The 23,453-nt window shown below is 35.1% G+C and overlaps 1 pseudogene, besides 1 other annotated feature; it reads right to left on the bottom strand.

Annotated features, from left to right (window-relative positions):
* Positions 5,892 to 7,091: an enhancer, noted in NCBI's record as "P300/CBP strongly-dependent group 1 enhancer chr3:166380535-166381734 (GRCh37/hg19 assembly coordinates)". NCBI's record gives its function as "activates an origin of replication core promoter dependent on BRD2, BRD4, P300/CBP, MED14 and CDK7 cofactors, with strong dependence on P300/CBP, by STARR-seq in HCT116 cells {active_cell/tissue: HCT116}" and the evidence as "EXISTENCE:reporter gene assay evidence [ECO:0000049][PMID:35650434]".
* On the bottom strand, positions 13,174 to 13,267 carry RN7SKP298 (RN7SK pseudogene 298; annotated as a pseudogene).

Consider the following 23,453-nt stretch of genomic DNA (forward strand, 5'->3'; position numbering starts at 1 on the left):
GAAATTCAAAGGATCATTAGTGGTCACTATGAGCAACTATATGTTGATAAGTTGAAAATCTAGAAAAAATGTACAAATTTCCAGATGCATACAAACTACCAGGATTAAACCAGGACCAGGAAGAAATCTAAAACCTGAACAGATCAATATCAAGTAATGTGATTGACATCATAATAAAATGTCTCCCCTAAAGAAAAGCCTGGAACCCAATGACTTCAGTGCTGAATTCTATCAAACATCTAATGAAAAACTAATACTAATCCTACTCAAACTATTCCAAAAAATATAAGTGGAGGCAATGCTTCCAAACTTAATTTATGAGGATTTATGAGGCCGGTATTACCCCGATACCAAAACCAGACAAAGATACATCAAGAAAAGGAAACCACAGGTCAATATCTCTGATGAATAGTGAATCAAAAATTCTCAAGAAAATTTAACAATGTATTAGAAAGATTATTTATCATGACCAAGTGAGATTTATCCCTGAGATGCATGGATGATTCAACATGTGCAAATAAACAATGTGATATATCAACAGAGTGAAGGATAACAACCATATGATTACTGCAACTGATGCTGAATAAGCATTTGATAAAATTCAACATTTGTTCATGATAAAAACTCTCAAAAACCTGGGGATAGAATGAACACAACTAAGCACAATAAAAGACATATATAATATTCCCACATCAACTATCATATTGAATTGGAAGAAACTGAAAAGCTTTCCTCCAAGATACGCTTATCTCCAAAATGTAATCCCATTTATAGCTGGACATGGTGGCTCACGTGTATAATCCCAGCACTTTGGGAGGCTGAGGCAGGTGTATCACTTGAGGTCAGGAGTTTAAGACCAGTCTGGCCAACATGGAAAACCCCTGTCTATACTAAAAATACCAAAAAAAAAAAAAAAATTAGCCAGGTGTTGTGGCACACACCTTTAATCCCAGCTACTGGGGAGGCTGAGGCAGGAAAATAACTTGAACCAAGGAAGCAGAGGTTGCAGTGAGCTGAGATCATGGCACTGCACTTCAGCCTGGGTGACAAAGTGGGACTTCAACTCAAAAAAAAAAAAAAAGGTAATCCCATTTATAATAGCCACCCGTAAAATTAAATACCTAGGAATTAATTTCACCAAGGAAGTAAAAGATCTGTATAATAAACACTAGAAGACACTAATGAATGAAATTGAAGGGGGCACCAAAAAATAGAAAAATATTCCAAGTTCATGGACTGGAAGAATCAATGTTGTGAAAATGTACACATTACCCAAAGCAATTAACACATTCAATGCAATACCTATCAGTATACCAATGGCATCCTACACAGAAATAGAAAAAAAATTCTAAAATTTATATGGACCCACAAAAGGCCCAGTGTAGCCAACAATATCCTAAGCAAACAAAACAAAACAACAACAACAAAAAAAAAAAAATAAAAAACTGTAGTAATCACATGACCTGATTTCAAATTATATTACAGAGCTGTAATAACCAAAATAGCATGGTATTGGCATAAAAACAGACACATATACCAATGGAACAGAATAATGAACCCAGAAACAAGACCATACACCTACAGTGAACTCATTTTCAAAAAAGGTGCAAAGAACATACACTGAGAAAAAGTTTCTTCAGTATATGGTGCCAGGAAAACTGAATAGCCATATGCCCAAGAATGAAACTAGACCTGTATCTCTCACCATATATAAAAATCAAATCAAAATGTCTGAAAGATGTAAATCTAAGGCCTCAAATCATGAAACTCCTACAAGAAAATTTGGGAAAAATCTCCAGGACATTGGTCTAGGCAAACCTTTTTCAAGCAATACTCCACAAATTAGCCAACCAAAACAAAAATGGACAAATGGGGTCACATCAAGTTAAAAAAGCTTCTGTACAACAAAGGAAACAATCAACAAAGTGGCAAGGCAAGCCACAGAATGGAACAAGATATTTGCAAACTACCTATCTGACAATGAATTACTAACCAGAATATATAAGGAGCTCAAAAAACTCTATAGAAAAAAATCTAATAATCTGATCAAAACCAGGCAAAAGATCTTAAAGGACATGTCTCAAAAGAAGACACAAATGGCAAACAGGCATACAAAAAGGTGCTCAAAATCACTGATCAGAGAAATGTAAATTAAAACCACAATGAGATATTATTTCACTTCAGTTAAGATAACTTTTATTCAAAAGAGAGGCAATAACAAATGGTAGAGAGGATGTGGAGAAAAGAGAACCATCATACACTGTTGGTCATAATATAAATTAGTACAACCACCATGGAGAATAGTTTGGAGGTTCCTCAAAAAACTAAAAATTGTGCTACTATATGGTTTAGCAAACCCACTGCTCAAAACATTTTAAAAAATCAGTATAACAATTTATATATCCAAAAGAAAGGTAATCAGTGTATCAAAGTGATATCTGTATGTCTATATTTGTTTGCAGCACTCTTTACAGCAGCTAAGATTTGGAAACCTAAGTGCCCATCATCAACTGATGAATGGATAAAGAAAATTTGTCACATATACACATGGAGTTCTATTCAGCCATTTAAAAAAAATGCTAGTTATTTGCAACAGCATGAATGAAACTGGGGGTCACTATGTTGAGTTAAATACGCCTGGCACAGAAAGAAAAACATTGCATGTTTTCACTTATTTGTGGAATATGAAAATTAAAACAATTGAACTGATGGTCATAAAGTGTAGTAGGGTGGTTACCAGAGGCTTGGAAGTGTACTGGGGGTCTGGGTGGGGGAGGTAAGGATGGATAATGAGTACAAAATATAGTTAGAAAGAATGAATAAGACCTACTATTTAATAGCACAACAGGGTGTCTATAATCAATAATAATTTTACTGTACATTTTGAAATAAAGAGTGTAATTGGATTGTTTGTAACTTAAAGGATAAATGCTTGAGGGAATGAATATCCAATTCCCCATGATGTGCTTATTTCACATTGCAGGCTGTATCAAAACATCTCATGTACTTCATAAATATATATACCTACTATGTACCCACAAAATTAAGAATAAAAATGTCTATACTACCCAATGTGATCTGCAAATTTAATGCAATCCTTATCAAAATCCCAATTGCAATTTATACAGAAATAGAAAAAAAATTGAAAATCCATGTGAAACTACAAAAGACCCTCAATAGCCAACAACACATTTCTGAGCAAAAAGAACAAAGCTGGAGGCATAATACTACCTGAGTTTAAAATATATTACAAAGTGACAATAATCAAGACAGTATGGCACTTCCATAAGAATAGACACATAGACCAATGGAACAGTATAGAGAGACCAGAAACACACCAAGGCATACATGGTCAACTGGCCTTTGACAAGGTAGCTAAGAATACACAATGGAGAAAAGATAGTCTTTTCAACAAATAGTGTTGGAAAAATTGGATATCCACATGCAAAAGAATACAATTGGGCCCTTATCTTACACCATAAATAAAAATGGCCTCAACATGTTTTAAAGACATAAGCCTAAGGTGAGAAACATCACAATTTAAAGAAGAAAACACAGTAGAAAAAGCTTCTTGACATTGGCTTTAGCAGTGATTTCTTGAATATGACATTAAAGGCACACGCAACAAAAGCAAAAGTAAACAAGTGACACTGAATACAACAAAAAAGTTTCTACACAGCAATATACAACTCAATTTTGATAAAAAACTGTAGTTAGCATCAGACTCCACAGGTTTAAGGGCAAAGTCCTCTACAGTGTTAAGATGCCAGCCACACTTCACTGGTTCCCAGGCCACCTGCACTTTTGACCAGCTAGCTATAAATTCAGAGATTTCCCATTATGCTCATAGGTTCAATAATTTATTCAATTGACTCAAAGAACTCAGGGAAAGTGCTATAATTATGATGACAGCTTTATTATAAAGGACACACATAGAGAGACATCTGAAAGGGTCCTAGACACAGATATTTTTATCCTCTCCCTAAGGAATTAGAGTGTATCACCCTTCAGCTATCAATATATTTATCAACCATGAAGCTCGAATGAGCTTTGAGTCCAAGGTTTTTATCAGAGTTTCCTTTATAAAAAAATTTTGTATTTTTTGTGGGGACATAGCAGATACATATATATTTATGAGGTACATGAGATATTTTGATACAGTCATGCAATGCATAATAATTACATCATAGAAAATTGAGCATCCATATACTTAATCATTTAACCTTTCTGTTACAAACAATAATCCAATTATATTCTTTACTTTGAAATATACAATTAAATTATTAGTGAATATAGTCACCCTTTTGTGCTATCAAATAGTAAATTCATTATTTCTACTTTTTATTGTACCTATTAAACATCCCTATTTCCCCCCCCCCCCCAACTACACTTTCCAACCTCTGGTAGCCATGCTTCTACTCTCTATCTTCTTCAGTTCAATTGTTTTGATTTTTAGATCTCACAAATAAGTGATAACATAATGCTGTTTGTTTTTCTGTGCCTGTCTTATTTTATATAACATAATGACCTCCATTTTCATCTGTGGTGTTGCAAATAACTAGATCTCATTCTTTTTTATGGTAGAATATTACTCCATTGTATATAAGTACCACATTTTTTAATCTATTTGTCTGTTGATGGTTATTTAGGTTGCTTTCATATCTTAGCTATTGTGAACAGTGCTGAAATAAACATGGAAGTATGGATATCTCTTTGATGTACTAATTTCCCTTCTTTTGTGGATATACCCAGTAGTGAGATTGCTGTATCATATGGTAGTTCTATTTTTAGTTTTTGAGGAACTTCCAAACTATTCTTCATAGTGATTGTACTAACTTATATTCCGACCAACAGTGTATGGAGGGTTCTCTTCTCTCCACATCCTCTCCAGCATTTGGTATTGCTTGTCTTCTGAATAAAAGCCATCTTAAATGTAGTGAGATAGTAACTATTGTGGTTTTGATTTGCATTTCCCACCAGGGGTCATGCAGCATGGAGAGTCTGCACCTGCATTTCTCTAATGAGCAATGATTTTGAGCACCTTTTTTTTAATGTCATTTGTGTCTTCTTTTGAGAAATATCCTTTAAAATCTTTTGTCCATTTTTGATCAGATTATTAAATGTTTTCCTATAGAGTTGTTTGAGCTATATGTTCTGGTTATTAATCCAATGTCAGTTATGTAGTTTGCAAATATTTTCTTCTATTCTGTGGCTTGCTTCTCCACTTTGTTTCCTTTGTTGTACAGAAGCTTTTTAAGTTGATGTGATTTCATTTGTCTATTTTTGCTTTGGCTGCCTGTGTTTTTGAGGTATTGCTCAATAAATTTTTGTCTAGCCCAATGTCCTTGAGAGTTTCTTCAATATTTTCTTGTAGTGATTTCCTAGTTTGATATCTTAGATTTAAGACTCTAAGACATTTTGATTTGACTTTCGTATATGGAGAGAGACAGAGGTCAAGTTTCATTATTCCACATATGAATATCCAGTTTTCCTAACACTATTTATTGAAGAGACTCTCCTTTCTTTAATGTATGTTCTTGTCATCTTTTTTGAAAATGAACTCACTTTAGGTATATAGATTTGTTTCCATGTTTTCTATTCTATTCCATTTGTTTACGTGTCTGCTTTTATGCCAGGACCATGCTGTTTTGCTTATTATAGCTCTGTAGTATAATTTGAAGTCAAGCAATGTAATTCTTCCAGTTTTGCTTGTTTTGCTCAGGATAACTTTGACTATGCTGGTTGTCCCAAATATCATTCTCATTTGTTTAAAAATGTCCTTTTTAATTTCTTCACTGATCCGGTAGTCATTCAGGAGCATATGTTTAAGTTGCCATGTCTTTATATAGTTTCCAAAAGTCCTCTCAGTGTGGCTTGCCAAGAAACTCGAGTTCTGACCAGTAGGATGGGTGATTCTTTTATGGCTAGCTCTGGTCCAAACGTTCCCTCCACGCACAGGCACTGGCTAAGCCCAGCATGGCTTTCTTCTCTACTATTGACAGGGCAGCACTGACATCAATGTAATGTTTTCCAGTTACTGTACTTTTCTTCCTCCTGGTGCAGACTCTTCATGCTGCATGGCCCCTGGTGGGAGATGAGGGAATGGTGGCATTAAAAATTCAAAACTATCTTTCTGACCCTCCTCAATGCCTGTTTCAACAATATGAAATTAAAATCAGGTACTGAGATTACTCACCTGATTTTTTATTCTCATGGTGGTGCTTTTCCATGTGCAGATAATTGTGTAGGATATAATAAATTCCTCTTCAAAGGTTTTAGCCTGTAAATTGTAAAATACAATGAGTTCGGAGATCCTCTGCAAGGAACCAATGTATCAGTATATTCACCTCCCCTGTTCTTTGTTCTTCATTTTAAAGTTTAACTTCCTCATTCACTTCATCTCCTTGCCCCTAGTTTCAGAAAAAAAATCCTCCTATCCTCTATCACCTGCTCCATCCTGAGTCACCCCTGGTCACCTGCTCCATCCTGAGTCAACCCTGGTCACTTGCTCTGACCTGAGTCATCCTGAGTCACCTGTTCTCTAAGTGCCCTTCCTGCCAAACTACTCACCCCACCACTCTGACTCGTACCCCTGCTCTGTTTAAAATAGCCAGTCAGAATTAGCTTAGACTGTGTGGTCCAACCCTAGCCAATAGGGGAACAACACAGCAGTAGAGGCTACCTGTATCAGGAATAAAAAGACCTTCCACTCCTTGTTCAGGTGTGCTCTCACCATTGCTCCATCCGCGAGTTGCACCCTTCTATAGAAGTAAAAATTACCTTGATGAGAAAATTAAATTTATATTCGAGTGCTATTTCTTTTGTGGCACTGAAAATTTATTTATAACAGTTGTTAAAATTTGGTATTCCTAAGTGAAGTATGAATGTAGTAGCCTTTCATTCCTCCACCTTGCTACACCCTCATTTACTAGGATATTATTACATAAGCATGTTTAATTAAATCATTGGTCATATAATTAAACTTAATCTCTAATCCTCTTTCCCTTTCCTTGGAGGGTGGCAAGTAAAATAGCCATCTCTCTAAACATGTGCTTGGTCTTGCTGGGGTGTCCTGCCATTATCCTGAGACATTTTGTTAGCATAAACTACCTGAGGACCACCCTGGATCACCTCATTAGCATAAATTATCAGGACCCACCACTTATAACAAAGAACTTCTATCACTCAGGAAATTCTAATGATTTAGGGTTTCCTTACTAAGAACTTGAAATATTTGCCAGTTATCTTCCTCATTATGCAACGTGTTTATACAAGAAATGTATGGATGTTTCAGTATTAGAAAATCTACTGATAGGATTCACTGAAATAACAGCTCTAAATAGGAAAATTTATAAAATTATCTTCATAGATTTTTAGATGCTGACAAAGACTTTTATCAGATTCAACACATATTCACTCTAATAACTCCTGGGAAAATAGGAATGGATGGCATATATCCACATAAATATGCACTTATGTGTATGATCTCTAAAATTAACTTGTGATTTTAATCCAATTCCAGTGAGTTTTCACATTGAGCTAGACAAATTGATCTTAAAGTTTATATGGAAAAAAAAGTGTTGGGAGGCAGATTCAAGTATCTTTGTGCAAACATTTGTCTTTTCAAAGCATGTTTTTGTGCCATATATTTAAAAATAAAATTAAAGCAATAAGAATAAAAAGTGGAGAAAACTAGTAGTACAGAAAAGAAACTTAAAACAGTGAACCTAATAGTATTTCCAATTCTATTAGTCCATTTTTATGCTGTTGATAAAGACATACTGGAGACTGGGCAATTTACAAAAGAAAGAGGTTTAATTGGACTTACAGCTCGACGTGGCTGAAGAAGCCTCACGATCATGGCGGAAGGCAAGGAGGAACAAGTCACGTGTTATCTGAATGGCAGCAGGCAAAGAGAGGGCTTGTGCAGGGAAATTTCCTTTTTTAAAAACCATTAGATCTTGAGAGACTTATTTACTATAATGAGAAGAGCATGAGCAAAGACCCGCCCCCATGATTCAGTCTTCTTCCACTAGGTCCCTCCCACAACATGTAGGAATTATGGGATCTACAAGATGAGATTTGGGTGGGGACACAGAGCCAACCCGTATCACCAATGGATATTATATTTATACTGAAGAGAAAGAGATAGTTAATGGGAAATAACACATGCATTCAATCTATGACTCTATAACATTAGGCTTGGGTAGGGGCAGCAGAGGCAAATAATTGCAAGCAATGTATATTCTCTTAAGTGGTTTGCTTACCTTGGTGGTATAGGTGAAGCAATTTTTAAACTATTTTATATGCATTATAGAATTCAACAAATGAATGAATATGTTGATGATGTTATGAACCAGGATTCTCACTACAAAAGCATAGCAGAAAGAAGGTTAAAGATAAAAAAGGAAACATTGTGAGCTAGATTAGATTTGGGGGTATAGGTGAAGACTCATGCTGTCAAAAATTTACATATGTCGATTCATATATTTGTATTTACATGTAAGTATATGTGCATGTGTGTATACATGCATATATTTTCTATATGTATCTATATGTATGCACATACATATAGAAAATATGTATATATATACATATAGAAAATACGTATGTACATATATACGTACATATAGAAAATACGTATGTACATATATACGTACATATAGAAAATACGTATGTACATATATACATACATATAGAAAATACGTATGTACATATATACATACGTATAGAAAATACGTATCTACATATATAAATACATATAGAAAATACGTATCTACATATATACCTACATATAGAAAATACATATGTACATATACATACATATAGAAAATACAGACTGTGGAATCTTGATAAAAGCTAAATTCATCATTATGTCAGCATTTCCAAACTTTCATAAGAATATGTCTCTGTATTTATTTCCTCTACCTATAATCTACTTTACCCTCAAAAACTTAACACAGGGTCATTTGTTCAATAAAGTCATTTGCCTTCCTGAGCCCTAGGCAAATAGGGCTGCTTCAATGCTGAGTTTCTTCTGAGTGCTTTGTTTCTTTCTGTTAGTAATAATACAAAATGAATATAAAATATGATGTCTTTATAGCATACCCTTCCCCCATCCTCTACCAATGGTCTCAAAATGTTCTCAAATTATATTATGTACAAAAATCCCTGAGGCAAAATACGAGACAAAAGGAATCACAGCAACAACGCTTTCTGATTTAGTATTTTTTAGATGGGGATCAGAAATATGCACTTTTAGAACTGCCTGTGGGAGTCCCTGATTTTGGTCCACCGAATGCTCAGGAAAAATTTACCCTCATATATAAAGTACAAACTTTTTTATCCCTACACTTCTTGAGACAATAAAAGGACATAATAAATATTTAATACAATTGTTTCCTAAATACAACATTTTTAACAACAAAGTTTTCTGATTTACAAATATAAAAGCTACAGATGAATTATTTATTTATTTACAAGAAGGGTACATATTTTTGTCAGTGATAATCTGTTTTTGCCATATATGCACATATAATAATGATATGGTAAGCCTTGGACTAATACGGTCTATTAAATAAATGTGTCACAAAATAGCACACACTCAATATATTCACTCCCAATATGCCTTGTACCTCCAAGTACAAAGAAAGTTTTTGGGAACAATGTAAGCTCCATTTGTCTGCAGGTTTCTTGACTTTAGGTAGGGTACTTTTTAAGGCATTCATTTAAAAGATCTTTAATTGGTTTGAGAACTGGGGCTTCTGTATGGAAGTGTGACAAATTATTATAACCATGAGGGCTTAAGACAACATTAATTTATTATCTTATAACCCTGGAGGTCAGAATCTAACTTTGACTCTCTTGCCTCCCTTTTCTGTATTTAAGGATCCCTGTGATTACATAATCCAGGATAATCTACCTATCTTAAGTTAAGATCTTTAATCACATTTTTAAGTCACCTTTGTCTTATAAAGCAGCTATTCACAGGTTCTGGAAATTAAATTATGCACATATTTGGGAGGAGTGAGGGCATAATTCTTCCTACCAAACCAAACTGAATTATGTAAGTATTCATTAGACAATGTGGGACCCTGAAAATTACTGCAAAATAAAGTTATCACAATATGGTGTGTGTATTATTTGTTTTAACAAAAAGAAAGAAAAAGAAAAAAAATACAACTTGGCTTCAAATTTAACTTAGAATACTTTATGAATAAATTCTAGGTAACACATTATCCTTGGTGAAAACTAACATAATACATTATTTGGAGATTTCTATTTGTCTATGCTATTTGTATTTCGTGGGTCGGTTATATCAAATAACTGCACCCTTAAATGAAGAGTAAAACTTAGATATCAGCTTGTTGTGAATTTTAGTATGTCATTTAGTGACAAATATGAGAGTTCTTTGATGAAATGGCATTAAAGTATAAGTAAGGGATTGTATTGCCCATATAAATTATGATTGGGGCCAGTTTAATTTTTTCTGGTGTTACATATGAATGAGAAAATGGGTGATAGCATTTTTATGAGGTCACGAAGTGTCTGTTGTTGAATAATGACTATGAATAAATATTCTATCAACAGAATTTTAATCGTCCTCCTGTTCTACTTTGAAGGAATCACTTTGGTAATGGATAGGTACTTACTACTTATCATTTCATTGCAGGACTCACTTTAAAACACAGTTGACCATTTAATAGCCAGCTTATATTTTAATTCATTTTATATTAAAAAGTAGATTATCTCCTTGCTACCTTTTTGTCATGAATCACTTGGTATGATTGACACAACTGTGTAATGAATAAAATACAATGTGATGAACACACATCAGACAGAACAATAATTAATAAAGTAGGATTACTATATCATATGTTTTTGTATGTGAAATATTGTATTATATTATAAATATCATATTATATTATGAACTGTAAATCCTACTTTATCTGATGGGGTGCTGGAAGATGATGTCAAAGGGATCAGGTAAAGAAAAACAGGAAGTGAGTTCTATGGTTGTAGCACTTAGAGAGGATAGGTTTTCTCTGCAAGAGCTGCCTCAGATGCAGTTAGGTACTAAGGAACTTTCTTAGAAAGACCTTCACTACCTAATACAATTCAGGCTAAACTGGCTGATAATTACATTTACACTTGCAGAATGAGGATATAGAATATTTGTTACAGAAGGAGGCTGAAAAAATATGAAATAATTATGGTAAGAAAAAGATTTCAACTAGTTATGAAGGAAAGAACAACATTTCACTTACTTGGGGACCTTGTAACTGTCTTCAAATATTCTTTGCCTATTGCTTTACAGAATCAATCTTGATGAATCAAGGTGGACAATAAAAAGAACATGGGTTCTGGATTCAGATAGCACTAATGTGATTCCTGGTTCTGTCACTCATACTATGAAACCTTCTTAAACTTTCTAAGACTCTGTTCTCTGTGCTGTACCATAGGAATGACCTTACCCACATTACAGATTATTGTGAGGATTGAGTTACATGTGTAAAACATGTAAGATTACCTGGCAAAGAGGGAGTAGAGGGCTGAAACAATTAGAACTATTTGAATTATCTTTTCCTCCCAACTAGCTTCTTCAGTTTGATTTTTAATCATGTTTGTGCTTTTTTTTCATTCTGAAGACATTTTCCCTAGTCTGTGATCTCCCAATGAGTTATCTTATTTCTCTTATAACTTTCATTACTAAGATCCTCGTAAGATTAGTCTTCCTCCTTACCATCTTCTCCTTATCCTTTGAAATCTGTAGCTCGCTCTCATCTTGCAAAATCTGCTGGAGGTCTGTTGTCATGCCTATTTATCCACTTTTTGTTCTTATACTACTCCCTTCCTCCTCAAAGTCTCTCTGTCTTTGGCTTCCCTAAGTCTATTTTCTTTTGATTCTCTACAGGTCTAACTGCACATTTTCAGTCCCCATGCCAGCCCACGTTCTTCTAACCCTAAGGAACTCATTGCTTAACAATATGCACTAGATCTTTTCCAAGTTTCTCTCTAAGCACTTTTCTTGGATTAATCTATTCCCACAGTTTTGGACAACATGAGTATGCGTCAGTTGTAAATGCTACCTCTGACTCAATACGTTTCAAACCTATATATAAGGTTTGGCTGAATATGAGCCATGAGTCTTTAGACAACTTTATATATCCAGTGTATTCAAAATCAAATTTTATTGGCTCTCAAAAATTGATCCTTCTCTTGGGTCCTTCTTTGTATTTAATGGCTTCATCATCCTTTGAATTACTTTAAGTAGCGATCTTCAATAATTTTAATCAATTTTTTTCCTCAATAGGGACTTCATAAGTTTTCCAAAGTAGTTGGGACCACAGGCATGTGCCCCCATGACTAGCTAAATTTTGTGTTTTTAGTGGTGATTGGACTTCACCTTATTGGCCAGGCTGGTCTCAAACTCCTGGCCTCAAGAGACTCACCCTCCTCAGCCTCCCAAAGTGCTGCAATTACAGGCATGAGCCACCATGCCAGGCCAAATTTCATGAATTATTGACATTTCTCAGCTTTGAACTGGTCTCTCTGATTCCAGCTACTCTCCTCAAAACCCTTTAGAGTTTTCCAAGCAAAATTCTTCAGTGAAACATCAAGTGGCTTCTATGGTCTGATTTTGTCAGCCTCATGTCAAAATTTTATCCAGGCAACCTACGTCCCAGTAACATAGAAATTGTTTCTATTCCTCAACTAATCTATTTGCTCTTTTTGTTTTAACTTCTGTTACCTTTCTCATATTTTTACCACAAACTGATTGTCCTTCCCTTTCTCTTTCCAGCCATTACAATACAAATTGGCCTTAGAAGTCACTCAGGAAATTGTTATGCTTTTACAAAATACTCTGTTAAGATTAGTTGCTATTTTTAAAAATAGTCAACAGGCATATTGTTGTTTTAACTCATTTTTGTATATGTTTTCAACTTACATGATAGGTTATTTAATTATTTGTGACTGTCTTCTACCAGACCACAAAGTCAGATAGTTTTATTCCACCCCTTCCATCAATAAACTATGCAATGCTTGAATATAAACATTCAAAAAATGTTTAATGAAGTGATATAAAATTAGAAAAGCCTTAGACCTAATTATATGATTTGGTTAGAGTAAATATAATCTTTGACAATTCAGGAAACAGTCACATGGAGTTGTGAGGGAGGACAAGAACATCTGCCTAGAAAGTCAGATGACTTAAATAATACTTAATAATCAATGAAGTGACAGATGTTGTAACCTAATTGCTCTCTTATTTTGGAACAAGATATAGTCATAATACTTTTTTAATATTAAAAATGTAAGTTAATGATACTGTCTATTAAAGCTATGTAAATATTGTTAAAATATAAACACAGAAGCTAATTAATTTCATATGTTATAATTGCGAAGGAATCCAATATCAGTGTTTAAATATCAATGGTTAATATATGCAAATAGTAGATACTTTTTGAAATATGTGGCTATAGATTCTTAGGATAGCTTAAAATTTTACCATGATTTAAAACAAGAAAGATCAATGTATTAGACTAAAGTGACTTAGTTCCAAAGTATGCATTTTATGGAACACAAGATTCACAAAATCCCCTTTAGAATGTTATAGATTTAAAAATCATTCACCTTTATTTTACTACAAATTACTATAGAATATTATTGATAAGATATTCTATTTCATTTTAGCAGACAAGCCTTCAATATATAAACATCTTTTAAGTAAAATGGCTCCATCTCAAAAAAAAAAAAAAAAAAAGAAAAATGGGTGAAAATGAGTACTTTTAAAAAATTGTATGCCTTTTTATTCTCATTAACAATCATATCCTCTTTATTTTTCTTTCATTTTCAAAATAATAGAAAGGTCTGCCTCCATTGTGTTACAAATGTCTTATTCTTTATCCTCGTAAGATATAGACCTTCCCTACTTGAGATTGACAAGAATATTGAGACTTAACTAGTCCAGGAAAAAATAATAGTGTCTTAGCCTTTGATCCCTGGGTATTACCATCATTGCTTTTCTTCTTCTAATGCTCACTGACACTTTGGAGTCTTCCCTAGGTCTTCTGGTCACTTGAAGCTTCTGGCCTATCAAGCTCACAAGTGGGCTCGCAGACTGGCATCTGGCTCTTTGCTTATGTTTTCACCTATCAAGAATCTATTTACTTACTTTCTCTGCATCTCGTCAAAGGAATCCGTGGTCTTAGAGTTTGGCAATGCTCCCATGTTAGGTGGCAGGTTATAGTGGTGTTTTATTATAGACCTAAATGTTCCTACTTACTTCCGGTAATCATTATTTTGTTACTTTTTTTAGACTCCTTTTCTCCCTCTTCCTCTGTCCCACTTACATATTGCCAGGGCAAGTAGGTATGGGTAAGTATAATCATTTGCAGCTCTGATGTATGAACCCTTTCCAAAATTCAATTTGCAAGCCTAAGATTTTGAAAAATACTTTAGAGATTTTTCTTAAAAATGTCTGCTAGAAATACTTATTTTAAAAATTATTCCATCTAATGGGAGGGGATGGTAACTTGGTTTTTGTCTCAGTTATGTCTTATGAATTGTTCCATCCTCCCCAGCAGAGCAATGCCCATCCAATTTTTATTGTGAGTCTCAACTCCCTCCCCATCTTCACACATTTTCAGTAGATGCCTTATCTTTCCAATGGCAGATTAAGATGGGATATTGGATTACTCTTGCCTCAGCAGTTCCCTTGTAGGTGTCCTGAGGATAAGTATGCTATCAAACATCCTGGAAGTCTGTAAATAGAAACCAGTGAGTTAAATACCTTTATATGTCTCCTTTTGCTCTATATTGCGAGGATATTAGCCCTTCAACATTATGCTTTCCTTATTTTTGGAAGTGAGTAGCTATTTCATCTTGTTCTATTTTTTCCCAATTTAATAACTGGAAGACTATGGCAATGGGGTAAGGAGAGTATTTAGTTCTTCTAGAGCAAGATTGGAGTCAATACTGCCTTTAAATCAGTCACTGCCCATCTGTAATCTGAATGATACACCAACTGAAATTAGGGATGCCCCTTTTGTGTCCTCATAATCATTCTTTATATCTTAAATATACTTTAATACACTTTCAGTTGTTCTCGGGCGACTGTTGAGAATGCTGACTCTCCTGAGTAGCTGGAATTACAGGCAGGAGCCACCATACCCGGCCAATTTGTGTATTTTTGATGGAGTCGGGGTTTAACCATGTTGGCCAAACTGGTCCCAAACTCCTGATCTCAGGTGGTCTGCCTGCCTCGGCCTCCCAAAGTGCTGGGATTACAGTTGTGAGCCACCATAGAGGTGGAGGCAGGAGAATCACTTGAACCTGGGAGGCAGAGGTTGCACTGAGCTGAGATCATGCCACTGCACTCCAGCCTGGGCAACAGAGCGAGACTCCATCTCAAAAAAAAAAAAAAAAAATGCTGACTCTCACATCACTGGTGATCTTCCTTTGCTAAACCCCAGGTCTAATGTGCTTAGGTATTCATACAAACCTACTAGTCATCAAATAAATATGGAAAACATCCCACATAAAATATCCCTTTTATGGAGTTTTATAACATACATTAGAATCAGAAATCCTCTAAACAAACCTGTGGTAAAGAAATCTGCTTAACTTTGTTTCACACTCTCTCTCAAAGTTATTTTACCCTAGCATTTTTTTGTTTTCTAAATAATAGCTCATAAAACTATGATTCTATAGAACAAATTCTAAGAAATACCGCATTCACTAGTAAATCGAGAGGTTTAATTTAGGGGAAAGAAAAATTTGGAACAGACAATGGAATAATGAAGACTATAGAAGAGTAGTGTGATCAGCTAAAAAAAACTCACACATTCAACTCTTCCATCCTTTTCATTTCTTTGCAAGTCTCACCCTGCTGCTGCCCAGCAGATGTCAAAATGAGCAGGAAAACCACATTGCTATACAGAGATTCCTTAATGGCAAGCTCTTGCTTCCCTAAGACTAGGTCAGGGACAATATAATCAAAATAGAAGTTTAAAATACTTTTTGTGTTTTTTTGCTTTTCAATACAAAGCATCAGTTTATTTAAGATTCCTAGCTATTCATATGCCGACCATACAGTATAAAAACCCTGAAAACCTGTATTAACTCATGGATTATTTTCATTTTTAACAGCAACTTAAAGCAGGAAAAAATTTACTTGATTGTTCATCCCATACTACACTGTCATAGTTGCTCATAAATAAAAGCGTGATATTTTATTAATCAAACTACTTTGGGAAATAAAAAATGCATGAAATAGAAATCAAAATTTCCAAGACAAAAGGACATGTAATTTATTATTGTAATAGAATAAATTAAATGCTTTCTAAACTTTCTTATTTCAAATTGTAAAGTTACTCTTATTGAGCTTCTGAACAATTGATCTGTAGCCTTCAAATTTTATCCTATTATGTCATCTTAAACATGCACATTACAGGGTCATCCTTTTTGGTGATGCCTATTAGTTCCATCTCTTTGTGGAACAATCCATTATAATGAACTCATGCTATCATTTCACCTTCAACCCCCAAGGACTGTCTGCTTTATGAACTCTGCTTTGAAGCTACACCTTCATTTCCTTCTGTTTTTTTTTTTCCCCCGGTCAAATTCTAAATTTAATTTAAAGTAGCAAAGAAAGATTAAGCTATTTGCATTTTAATTTTAATTCTCATTAATATTTTCATTTTATAAAATAGTTACTTGTTCAAAGTAACTGAAATTTTGGACAATGGCAATCTTTCAGAGGGAGAGTGGAGTGATTCTTTTCCAATTAATTTTTATTTTTCATTCCTGCCTCTTCAGAATTATGTCACATCTTTTTGTAGTCTAGGGAGGAATGCTGTAGCTAACATGTGATTTAAGGTGTTTATGCTGATTGCTTAGTGAAAGAGTAAACTTTGAGTTAAGTATTAAAATATGTACTGTTATATAACATTTAAAAGGCTCCCAAAATATATTTTGCAAGTTATTCCTCAATACACCACCACAAACTTTGCAATCTGAGATAACTTCCTTTCTTTCCATACATTTTAATTCAATTTAATCCATCAGACACAAAATAAATTTACACTGACTACTATCATGCATTTCTTTAGGTGCAGGGATATCAAAAGTACTTAAATCTACTGCTGCCTCTAAGGCTTTCCAGGTTATAAAAAATAGATTGATGTGTAAATAAATAATTGCAATTTTATGTAATGAGTTCTAAAACAGATACATACATTTAATACAGGATCACAGAATTGGAAAACCCAATACCACTTTCCCTCAGGAATAGTTATCAAGAAGAGGTCACTGTAGACCTAAGACTTGAAGAAAATTCCATATTATTTACAATCTTCTGACTCACTTCAAATATTCTGCAGAATCTAGACCCAGTATAATGTGTGTTAGTGGACATGGATGGCATTCAGTAGAGAGCTTATGTTTCAGAACAGCTACAGATAATGAAAGAGGACTCATTAGGAGTCTAAGAGCAAACAACTTATAAAACTAGTAATGAAAAAATACTTTTTCCCTATAAATGTCTAAAATAAAATCTGTTTTATATTTCACATTTCAAAATGACAACTGTATATCTTCATCACTTTCAAACATTATGCCAAAGTCTTAGAGCACTTCCAACATAGAGAAGAAAGTTTAATTTTCTGAATCATCACTGTGATTACCATTATAATATCAAATTAAGGAATTCTATCATTTAGTTGTATTTGATTGGATAATATAATTTTTATATTATGACAGCTTTATAAATTCATATAAATCTATTAAATCTTTTTTATTCTGAAAGACTATGTTTTCATGTAAAATACAAAATATATATTATAAAACTTAAATGAACTAAAACAAAATATTTCTCTCATAATACTGGTCTTAACAAACAGTATTATGTTTCTTAACAGTAAGAATTTGAGGCAAATTCACAGAACAATGCTCAGTACTCAATTATGTATTGTTCCTGAACACATTGCGCAGATTTATTTATCCTTAGTATCTTTAGATATATTCTTTCTTATTCTGGAAATTTCTCACCATCAAGTATCTTTAGACATACTCTTTCTTCTTGTGTAAAGTTCTCACCATCAATCTATCAGCTAAAGCCCTGTCTATTTTTCAAGTTTTCATTAAATATAGCTCTGTTTGGAAAGCCAAGAGCTTGAGCATCTCCTTCCATTGTTAATCACTACCTACGTAATACTTCCTCTGAAACTTGCTCTTATTTAGTATTTCTGTTTGTACTTTCTCACTTTTTATTTTTGCTTACAGATTTACCTCATCTTGTTTTGTTTGTGTTTCTATTACTATCAACTAGCAAAATGCTGATAGATTATAGGTACTAATATTTCAATGGAAGAGTGGAGGGCAAAGTACAGAGAGTAGAAATTAAATGTAAATTATTAGAAGTAACACTGTAAGGGCTGTTCAGATTAGATGCTTTGATAATTTAAGGTAGACTTTACAAATACCAGTCACTTGTATATGTCTATATGTTTATATATCATTTATCCTAGCTTTATGTTCTTCATTCATTAAATCATAAAGTTTATATTTCTTGTTCCAATGTTATGCTTACAAAGCATTTTATTGCTCCAATTTGGCTTCTTGTGTCTTTTTCATAAAATGAACAATATATGCTAGTAGGAGAAGCTAAGTTCTGTTCCATTAACAGGGATTTTATAGTAAATTAAATCTATCTATATTTTGTTTTATTACAGGCGAAACTCATACACAATCCTTGCTTGTGTGACATGTGTGTATTAGAAACATGCAGTTTCTCTCTTACACTTTAAGGTAGTGATGCTTATTTATAGGTGCTGTAGTAAAAAGCAATATAATTGAATGTATCAAGAGTTTCAGTTCTTCATTGTTTAGGGACATTTCATCTTATGTTTCCTTCATTTCTACTTCTACCCGTTATCAATACCAAATTGTAGCAAAGCAGGATCCAAAAGCAAAACTTTTCAACGGTAATCCCATTGAGCTATTCCCTAGTGTTGCCACATTAGTATTGTTCACTCACTCATGTATTTCTTCATTCAGAAAATTAAGATACCATCACAATATCAATGTGGTAATAATCTAGTAGAATAAGGAACTAAAATATGTTGGATGCCATGTTAGAAAGGTTCATGTGATACACTCTATTACTTTGTTCTTCCACTGCTAATAAAGACATACCTGAGATTGGATAATTTATAAAGGAAAAGAGGTTTAATAAACTCGCATTTCCACATGGCTGGGGATGCCTCAAAAATCATGATAGAAGATAAAGGAGGAGTAAAGGCAAATCTTACATGGCTGCACGTAAGACAGCATGTGCAGGGAAACTGCTCTTTATAAAACCATCAGATCTCATGAGACTTATTCACTATCATGAGAAGAGCATGGGAAAAATCCACCCCCATGATTCAATTACCTCCCCCTGGGTCCCTCCCATGACATGTGGGCATTATGGGCAATACAATTCAAGATGAGATGTGGATGAGGACAGAGGCAAAACATATCATTCCACCCCTTTACCCTCCCAAATCTCATGTTCTCACATTTCAAAACCAGTCTTTCCTTCCCAAAAGTCCCCCAAAGTCTTAACTCATTTAAGCATTAACCCAAAAGTCCATAGTCCAAAGTCTCATCTGAGACAAAGCAAGTCCCTTCCACCTATGAGCTTGTAAAATCGAAAGCAAGTTAGTTACTTCCTAGAAACAATGAGGGACATAGGCATTGAGTAAATATACCCATTCCAAATGATAGAAATTGGCCAAAATGGACAGGCTTCATGCAAGTCCAAAATTCAGTATGGCAGTCTTTAAACCTTAAAGTTCAAAAATGATCTACTTTGACTTCATGTCTCACATCCAGGTCATGCTGATGCAAGAGGTGGGCTTCCACAGCCTTGGGTGGCTCCACCCCTGTGGCTTTTCAGGGTACAGCCCTCCTTCTGACTGCTTTCACAGGCTGACATTGAGGGTCCGGCTTTTCCAGGCTCACAATGCAAGCTGTCAGTGAATCTACTTATTGTAGGGTCCGGAGAATGGTGGCCCTCTTCTTATAGCTCTACTAGGCAGTACTCCAGCGGGGACTCTGTGTGGGAGCTTCAACCTCACATTTCCCTGCTGTACTGCCCTAACAGAGGTTCTCCATGAGGGCTCCACCCCTGCAGCAAATTTCTGCCTGGAATTCCAGGCATTTCCATACATTCTCTAAAATCTAGGTGGAGATTTCCAAACCTCAGTACTTTACTTTTGTGCATCTGCAAGCCTAATACCACAAGTAAGCCACAAAAGCTTGGGGTTTGCACTTTCTGAAGCAAGAGCCTGAGCTGTTCATTGACCCCTTTTAGCCACGTTGGAGCTGAAGCAGCTGGGGTGCAGGGCACCATGTCCTAAGGCTGCACAGATAGGAGTGTCCTGGGCCCAGCCCAAGAGACCACTTGTCCCTCCTAGGCCTCTGAGTCTGTAATGGGAAGGGCTGCTGTGAAAGTCTGACATGTGCCGGAGACATTTTCCCCATTGTCTTGTTGATTAACATTCAGCTCCTTGTTACTTATGTAAACTTTTGCAGCAGGCTTGAATTTCTCCCCAAAAAGTTTTTTTTTTTTTCCTATTGCATTAGCAGGCTGCAAATTTTCCAAACTTTTGTGCTCTGCTTCCTCTTTTTTTTTTTTTTTTTTTTTTTTTGAGACGGAGTTTCGCTCTGTCGCCCAGGCTGGAGTGCAGTGGCGCGATCTCGACTCACTGCAAGCTCCGCCTCCCGGGTTCACGCCATTCTCCTGACTCAGCCTTCCGTGTAGCTGGGACTACAGGCACGCGCCACCATGCCCGGCTAATTTTTGTATTTTTAGTAGAGACGGGGTTTCACCGTGTTAGCCAGGATGGTCTCGATCTCCTGACCTCGTGATCCGCCCGTCTCGGCCTCCCCAAGTGCTGGGATTACAGGAGCCACCGCGCCCGGCCGCTCTGCTTCCTCTTGAACACTGTCATTTACAAATTTTTTCTGCCAGATACCCTAAATCTTTTCTCTCAAGTTCAAAGCTCCACAGATCTCTAGGGCAGGGGCAAAATACCAGCAGTCTCTTTGCTAAAACATAACAAAAGTCACCTTTGCTCCAGTTCCCAACAAGTTCTTCATATCCATCTGAGATCACCTCATCCTGGACTTTATCATCCATATCACTATCAGCATTTTGGTCAAAGCCATTCAACAAATCTCTAAGAAGTTCCAACTTTCCCACATCTTCCTGTCTTCTGAGCCCTCCAAGTCTCCAGGAAGTTCCAAACTTCTCCACAGTTTTCTATCTTTTTATGAACCCTCCAAACTGTTCCAACCTCTGCCTGTTTCCTAGTTTCAAAGTCGCTTCTGCATTTCCAGGTATCTTTACAGCAGCACTCCACTCTTTCAGAACCAATTTACTGTATTAGTCTGTTCTCACACTGCTAATAAAGACATACCTGAGACTGGGTATTTATTAAGGAAAGTAGGTTTAATGAACTCACAGTTACATATGGCTGAGGAGGCCTCACAATCATGGAGGAAGGTGAAGGAAGAGCAAAGGCACATCTTACATGGTGGCTGACAAGAGTGTGTGCAGGGGAACTGCCCTTTGTAAAGCCACCAGATGTCATGAGACTTATTCACTATCACAAGAACAGCATGTGAAAATCATCCACCCCCCCCCATAATTACATTATCTCCCACTGGATCCCTCCCATGACACATGGGGATTATGGGAGCTATAATTCAAGATGAAATTTGGGTGGGAACACAGCCAAACTATCATACAGTGAGGGTACAAGGGAGATTTACTATTTCTATTCGTGGAAGATGGGGTAAATGTGAGTAAATATTAACAGCAATGACAGTTTAATAATGGTTTAGAAAAGAAGTAAATGAGGAAATTCCAGCTCCATAATAAGATACATTCTGTAATCATGATGCAAACGCTATTATGACTTCAGGGAACTCATTGTAAATGATATCAGGTTTTCACCACCATATTTCAAGATGGTTGCTTAAATTGTAATTACTGCTCTCCAGAGGTGTTCTAACATTCTTAGCTCTGCAGGTATAGGTGTGTAGAAAAAATAACCTTTCTTTTAATTGTCTTTTTTTCATTCCATTCTTTTATGAGATGATGAACTATAATTTTCAAAATAAACTTTACTTAGAAACTAAGGAAGAATAAAACAAAAAGAATACACATACAGATGTAAGTAAATGACTCCAGTGTTGCTTCATATCAGTATATGTAACTACTTAACAATTCCCCCAGGTTGTCTAATCATAATTTTAACCAAAAATTTCCAAACCAGAAGTCTTAATTTCCAAAGCCAATCTATCATTTCTTAAGTCACAAATATAGGAATCATCCTTGATTCTCCCATTTCTGGAGCCCATGTATAATTCATTAACAAGTTCACAAGCTCTTTCTCCTAAATCTCAAATTCCTTCCACTTCTCTCTACCTCCATGGCCCTACCCTTAACCAGATATCATCTGGACAACTGTATTATCCCCAAAATTGGTTTCAATGGAATAATCTTCTCATCACCATTCCCTAAAATGCATTCACACAGAAGTTAGAGAACTTATTTTTAAAATATAATATTAGATGAGTTTCCTTTAAAAAGTATTTAGAGGTTTCTCCATTGCTTGTCAAATTAAATCTAAACTGATTACCAGGACCTATAAGATTCTCTTACATTTGTTTCCTGCTGATGCCTTCAGCTAAAGTTACAGAAATATCCACTCACTGACTATATTCCAACCACACCGTCCTTCTCCATGATCCTGCAATAGCTTTTACATCTTGTGATTTTGCACTAGCTTTTGTCTTCTTTGGTTGCTCTTTCTCAGTTTTGCCCTTGGTTGCTTTATTCCCAGGGTCACTATTAACTCATCCTATTTACTCTGTTTACAAAACATAGCACATTTTGGAACCATCTTATTTATACACTTGTTCAATTTTGTCCCTCACTATAATATAAGCTACCCAAGGAAAGGTCAGAATATTTTTGTTTACCACCAGGTCCCCAGCATTCTTCATGATATCTGATAAGGTTATCAGTAAGGATATCCTTATCTAGTAAAGATAATATAAATATTCATTTAGTGAAATTATGTATTAATGAGCTAAGATATTTTACTTTGAGATGTTTACTATTTGCCTTGTCTTACTAAATATAGTTTTATATTTCTTTCCTCCACAAATGCCTCTGTTTTATAAGGGAGATTAACTTACTTATGTAGCTAATATAGGATGGATGGTTTCAGGTAGAAAATGTGGATTCTACTAGTAAGAGTCTCAATTTCTTGGAGACCTGTTTTTCATTTTGTTTCCTAGAAGTAGACACCAGACTGTATCCTCTGGTGTCAAACTTTGCTTCACTACTATTCTAACTTGATTTCTGAAGGCCTTGCCACTTCTGGGCCAATTCA

This window comes from Homo sapiens, chromosome 3, assembly GCF_000001405.40.
Source record: "Homo sapiens chromosome 3, GRCh38.p14 Primary Assembly".
NCBI lineage: Eukaryota > Metazoa > Chordata > Mammalia > Primates > Hominidae > Homo > Homo sapiens.